This window comes from Homo sapiens, chromosome 19 (genome assembly GCF_000001405.40).
Source record: "Homo sapiens chromosome 19, GRCh38.p14 Primary Assembly".
In the NCBI taxonomy this organism is placed as follows: domain Eukaryota; kingdom Metazoa; phylum Chordata; class Mammalia; order Primates; family Hominidae; genus Homo; species Homo sapiens.
The window spans coordinates 4,145,410-4,152,018 of record NC_000019.10 but is presented as its reverse complement, the minus strand read 5'-3'; the positions used below and the strand labels follow the sequence as shown (position 1 = coordinate 4,152,018).

The window sequence follows — 6,609 nt, the reverse complement described above, 5'->3', positions numbered from 1 at the left end:
GGAGGCGGAGGTTGCAGTGAGCTGAGATCACACCACTGCACTCCAACCTGGGCGACAGTGAGACTCTGTCTCAAAAAAAAAAAAAATGACATGTTCAGTGCAGTCCTGAAGGATGAGATGGAACTGGCCCTGGGAAGGTCTGGGGAAAGGTGTCCCAGGCAGAGGCACAGTTTGTGCAAAGGCCCTGAGGCAGGTCCGTGCCTAGCGCATTGGAGGAACAGCAATGAGACCCCTGTGGCTGGAGCAGAGTGAGGAGAGGAAGACAGGCAGGAGAGGAAGACAGGGAGGAGGGGAAGGCAGGGAGGAGGGGAAGGCAGGGAGGGGACGGGGCAGGTCGTGCAAAGCCCTGTGTGTTGTGGCAAGGAGTTTGGTTTGTGCTAAACAGCAGGGCACTGTTGGAAGTTTAGCAAATAGGAGACTAAATCAAGCTTTCTGTTTGCTGGACACTGTGCCATGTGCTAGGTTGAGAGGGGTAATTTATGTGCCCTCCTTGCTCTAAAAAAATTCACATCCTGGTTCCCTTCCCCTTCCTTCCTTCCTTTCCTTCCTTCCTTCCTTCCTTCTCTCCCTCCCTCCCTCCCTCCTTCCTTCCTTCTTTCCTCTCTCTTTTTTTCTCTTTTCTCTCTCTATCTTTCTTTCTCTCTTTCTTTCTTTCTTTCTCAAGACAGAGTCTCGCTCTGTCGCCCAGGCTGGAGTGCAGTAGCACAATCTCAGCTCACTGCAACCTCCACTTCCCAGGTTCAGGCGATTCTCCTGCCTCAGCCTCCTGAGTAGCTGGCATTACAGGCTCCCACCACCACACCCAGCTAATTTTTGTATTTTTGGTGGAGATGGGGTTTCACCATGTTGGCCAGGCTGGTCTTGAACTCCTGAATTCAAGTGATTCACCCGCCTTGGCCTCACAAAGTGCTGGGATTACAGGCATGAGCCACCACGCCCGGCCTGGTTTATATTTTTCAATGGATCACTCATATGTATTCATGAAATCAAAATTCAATAAGGGGCTACCATATGCCACACACGATATGGTTCTTTTATCCAACACTAACTCACATTACTGCACTTGCCCTCCACTAGGGCAGACTGGAGTGCAGTGCTGTGATCAAAACTCATTGCAGCAGGCCGGGCACAGTGGCTCATGCCTGGAATCCCAGCACTTTGGGAGGCCGAGGTGGGTGGATCACGAGGTCAGGAGATTGAGACCATCCTGGCTAACACGGTGAAACCCTGTCTCCATTAAAGATACGAAAAAAAAAATTAGCCGGGCGTGGCGGTGGGCGCCTGTAGTCCCAGCTACTCGGGAGGCTGAGGCAGGAGAATGGCGTGAACCTGGGAGGCGGAGCTTGCAGTGAGCCGAGATCGGTGCCACTGTTCTCCAACCTGGGTGACAGAGCGAGACTCCATCTCAAAAAAAAAAAAAAAAACTCACTGCAGCCTCAACCTTCCGGACGGAAACTCAGGACACTCACTGTGCAATGTCTGGGACATCTGTGGTTGTCACGAGTGCGAGATGCTCCTGGCATAGAATGGGTGAAGGCCAGAGATGCCGTTCAGCACCCTACAGTGCCCAGGACGGCCCCACCCCAGAAAGCAATCCTGCCCCACAGCCACGGGATCTGGGGGAGAAAGACTGCATTAATTATTTGGGAAAAAATTGAGTGGGTTCCCTGCTCACACCAGACACCAGAATAAACTCCCAACAGGGCAGACGGTATAAACCAGGGGAACCCCAGATCCTGGGATTCACCTCCTCCCTCCTTCCCCATTCAGGGCATGGATTTCAATGTGTGCAGCCTCCTGGGACCTCAGCAGGGCAGAGCATCACGGGATACAGTCTCTTGGGGGTCCATGGAATCCCCTAACCCAGGGGAGCTCACCCAGGGTGATTTTACACTCCCCCGAGGACACTGGGTGATGTCTGAGGACATCTGTGGTTGTTACAACAAAGGGGGGTGGCCCTGGCGCGGGGTGGGTGGAGGCCAGGGACACTGCTCAGCAACCTCCAGTGCCCAGGATGGCCCCACCCCATAGAAGGATCCGGGTCCCCAAGCTCCACGGGGCCCAAGAAGAGACCCCGATAACGGTACCTGTCCCTGTCTGGGTGCTACTAGAATTATCTCGCCCTTGACCTCTACATTTTTCTGATCTCCTTTTATCTGCTCTGTGTTGGATTTTAGAGGGGTTGTTTGCCTTGGCTTGGCTTTAGTGATCCCAGTCATAATATTTATTCAGCATTTGCCGTGGAGGCTTTTTTCCAGGGCCATCACAGTGGGTGGATCAAGTAGGTGATGTTTGACTTCTGGACTCCTCTCTGCCTCTCCTCACCCCGTTTATCACTCTTGGGAGTTCTAGTGCCCTCGAGAGAGATCACTCCCCCTTCTCTTATCAAAACCTGCTGGAGCCGGGCACCGTGGCTCATGCCGGTAATCCAAGCCCTTTGGGAGGCTGAGGCGGGAAGATTGCTCAAGCCCTGGAGTTCCCGATCAGCCTGGGCAATAGAGCAAGACCTCATAACTACAAAAAAGTTTAAAAAATTAGCCAGGCAGCATGGCCAACATGGTGAAACCGCGTCTCTACTAAAAATACAAAAATTAGCCAGATGTGGTGGCGGGCACATGTAATCCCAGCTACTCGGGAGGCTGAGGCAGGAGGATCACTTGAACCCAGGAGGTGGAGACTGCAGTGAGCCGAGATCATGCCACTGCACCCCAGCCTGGGTGACAGAGCAAGACCCTCTATCAAAAAGAAAAGGGCCGGGCATGGTGGCTCACGCCTGTAATCCCAGCACTTTGAGAGGCCAAGGCGGGCGGATCGCGAGGTCAGGAGATCGAGACCATCCTGGCTAACACGGTGAAACCCCGTCTCTACTAAAAATACAAAAAATTAGCTGGGCATGGCGGTGGGCACCTGTAGTCCCAGCTACTCGGGAGGCTGAGACAGGAGAATGGCGTGAACCCAGGAGGCCGAGCTTGCAGTGAGCTGAGATCGCGCCACTGCACTCCAGCCTGGGCGACAGAGCAAGACTCCGTCTCAAAAAAAAAAAAAAATTAGCCAAGCATGGTGGTGCACACCTGTAGTCCCAGCTACTTGGGAGGCTGAGGCAGGAGGATCGCTTGAGCCTGGGAGTTTGAGGCTACCATGAGCTGTGACTGCACCACTGCACCAGCCTGGGCCACAGGGCGAGACTTTTTCTCAAAAATAACAATACTTATTATTATGAACTTTAGAAGCCTTTTGTACACCTCAATGAAGGGATTTCAGGTATCTGTTAACAGGGAGGATAAGAATAAGCACTTGGCCCGCATGGTAGCTCACGCCTGTCATCCCAGCACTCTGGGAGGCCGAGGTGGGCGGATCACCTGAGGTCAGGAGTTTGAGACCAGCCTGCCCAACATGGCGAAACCCTGTCACTACTAAAAAATACAAGAATTAGCTGGGCGTGGTGGCACTCGCCTGTAATGCCAGCTACTCAGGAGGCTGAGGCTGGAGAATCACTCGAACTTGGGAGGCAGAGGTTGCAGTGAGCCGAGATCACGCCACTAAATTCCAGCCTGGGCCACAGAGAAAGCTTCTGTCAAAAAAAAAAAAAAAAAGAAGAAGAAGAAGAAGAAAAAGAAGCTCTTGTGGGGACAGAAGGACTTTTCACTGCCATTGACCTCATAGCAGTTTATCCACTGAACACGACTACGTATCTCAAAGGGACAATAACTTGGAATCTAAAGTAAAATTCCTGCAGTCATTTTCAGCAATGTGTTTAAGTACATGTTCCCTCTGTAGACTCTCTGTCACTTTATTGCTAACACATCATTGTTTGTTTGTTTGTTTGTTTGTTTGTTTTGATACAAGGTTTCACTCTGTCGCTCAGGCTGGAGTGCAGTGGCGCCATCTTGGCTCACTACAACTTTTGCCTCCCAGGCTCAAGTGATCCTCCCACCTCAACCTCCCAAGTAGCTGAGGCTACAGGTGCGTGCCACCACGCTTGGCTAATTTTTGTATTTTTTTGTGGAGATGAGGTTTCTTCATGTTGCCCAGGTTGGTCTCAAACTCCTGGCCTCAAGTGATCCTCCCACCTCAGCCTCCCAAAGTGCTGGGATTACAGGCATGAGCCACCACGCCAAACCCTCTTTTTTTTTTTTTTTTGAGACTGAGTTTCGCTCTTGTTGCCCAGACTGGAGTACAATGGCTGCGATCTCGGCTGACTGCAACCTCTGCCTCCCAGGTTCAAGCAATTCTCCTGCCTCAGCCTCCTGAGTAGCTGGGATTACAGGCGCCCGCCACCACGCCCAGCTAATTTTGTGTTTTTAGTAGAGACGGGGTTTCACCATGTTGATCAGGTTGGTCTTGAACTCCCAACCTGAGGTGATCTGCCTGCCTCGGTCTCCCAAAGTGATGGGATTACAGGCATGAGCCACCACACCTGGCCCTTCCCATGTTTTGAGCCAAGTGGTAAAGTCAATAAAAGCTTGACAATGGAACACGTCCCTGTATAAAGCCCTGCATTGCCCAATGTGTTTGCACACTGTTGTCAATTCTCATAAACCCACCCAGCAGAACATACAACAGCGTGCTGTCCCGGGAACCACAGGAGTTTCCCATTGCGCAAAAAATACAATGTCATCAAACGAGCAAGAGTTCATCATTATTTAATTTTTTTTTTTTTTTTTGAGACGGAGTCTTGCTCTGTCGCCCAGGCTGGAGTGCAATGGCACGAACTCGGCTCACTACAACCTCTGCCTCCCGGGTTCAAGCAATTCTCCTGCTTCAGCTTCTCGAATAGCTGGGATTATAGGCACGTGCTACCATGCCCGGCTAATTTTTTGCATTTTTAGTAGAGACGGGGTTTCACCGTGTTAGCCAGGATGGTCTGAATCTCCTGACCTCGTGATCCTCCCACCTCGGCCGCCCAAAGTGCTGGCATTACAGGCGTGAGCCACTGCGCCCGGCCACAAATATATTTTTTAAGTGAAATTTAATTTTGCCTTGAACTTTTAAAATATAGCTGCTGGAAAACTTAAGAGGATACCTCAGGAACGTGGAGATAAACAATAAATAAGTGAATAAATAAAAGTCTACGTGGGCCGGGCACGGTGGCTCACGCTTGTAATCCCAGCACTTTGGGAGGCTGAGGCGATCCACTTGAGGTGAGGAGTCTGAGACCAGCCTGACCAACATGGTGAAAACCCATCTCTACTAAAAATACAAAAATTAGCTGGGCACAGGAGCTCATGCCTGTAATCCCAGCACTTTGGGAGGCCGAGGCAGGTAGATCACCTGAGGTCAGGAGTTCGAGACCAGCCTGGCCAACATGGTGAAACCCCGTCTCTACTAAAAATACAAAAATTAGCCAGGCATGGTGGCAGGCGCCTGTAATCCCAGCAACTCAGGAGGGTAAAGCAGGAGAATCGCTTGAACCCGGGAGGTGGAGGTTGCAGTGAGCCCAGATTGCACCACTGCACTCCAGCCTGGGTGACAGAGTGAGACTCCATCTCAAAAAGGAAAAAAAAGTCTACATGGTCTATTGGACAGAATCCTGGCTCTGCCACTTGCCCCCCTGTGACTGTGGGCAAACGACTGCCTCCCCCTGCCTCAGTTTCCTCATGTGTAAAGCCAGGGATAAAGGACGAACCACATGTGGGAGCATTCCCACGGAAAGCGCTAAAAAGGGACTTCTGGCCAGGTGAGGTGGCTCACGCCTGTAATCCCAGCACTTTGGGAGGCCGAGGTGGGAGGATCACCTGAGGTCAGGAGTTTGAGACCAGCCTGGCCAACATGGTGAAACCCCGTCTCTACTAAAAATACAAAATTAGCAGGGCGCAGTGGTGCATGCCTGTAATCCCAGCTACTCAGGAGGCTTGAGCCCGGGAGGTAGAGGTTGCAATGAGCTGAGATTTTGCCGCTGCACTCCAGACTGGCGACAGAGCAAGACTCCGTCTCAAAAAAAAAAAAAAGAAAAAAGAAATCTATCTGACTGCAGTCCCGTGACGCCCAGCGGATGCCCGGCTGTCCCTTCCTGGTTGCCTTAGCCCTTTGGCCTCTGCACAGCTCTGATCGTAAGGACAGTCCCCATTCTGCACAGGAGGACAGAGGAGCTGATAAGGGGATGTGACTCACTTGGCCATTGCATGAGTCAGGCAGGAGAACTGACAACACCCAGGTCCCCTGCTACAGATGCGGGGTCGGGGGGACTTGCCCTGGGGTCCTTGAGCACCACCCTTGTGGGCCAGTTCCCGGTGGAAAAAGTGAGTGGGTCCAGGAGGGCAGCAGCTCCCACTCCTCCTCTCCCTCCTCCCTCTCCATTCTGTTCCTCTTGCCTTCCTCCTCCTCCCTGCTCCCTCCTCCTTGGCCTTTTCCCTCCTCCTCCCTCTCCTCTTCCCCTTCTCTTTCCTCCCCTTCCTCCCTGCTCCCTTCCCTCTTCTCCTTCCCCTCCCCATCCTCTCTCTCATCCTCCCCTCCTTCCCCACTCCTCTCCCTCCTTCTTTTTCTCTCCCTCCTCTCCCTCCTCCTCAGCCTCCTCCCTCCTCCTCTCTCTCACCCTCCTCCTTCTTCCCCACCTCCCCCTTCTCCCCCTCTTCCCCTCCTCCCCACCTCTCCCTTCTCCCCCTTCTCCTC

At 52.4% G+C, this 6,609-nt stretch overlaps 2 annotated features.

The window, feature by feature from the left end:
• Window positions 2,281–2,481: a silencer, noted in NCBI's record as "peak3267 fragment used in MPRA reporter construct". NCBI's record gives its function as "represses an SCP1 promoter by STARR-seq MPRAs in K562 erythroleukemia cells {active_cell/tissue: K562}" and the evidence as "EXISTENCE:reporter gene assay evidence [ECO:0000049][PMID:32103011]".
• Window positions 5,913–6,207: an enhancer, noted in NCBI's record as "tiled region #6873; K562 Activating DNase unmatched - State 5:Enh, and HepG2 Activating DNase unmatched - State 4:PromP". NCBI's record gives its function as "activates a minimal TATA promoter and a strong SV40 promoter by Sharpr-MPRA in K562 cells, with weak activation in HepG2 cells {active_cell/tissue: HepG2 | K562}" and the evidence as "EXISTENCE:reporter gene assay evidence [ECO:0000049][PMID:27701403]".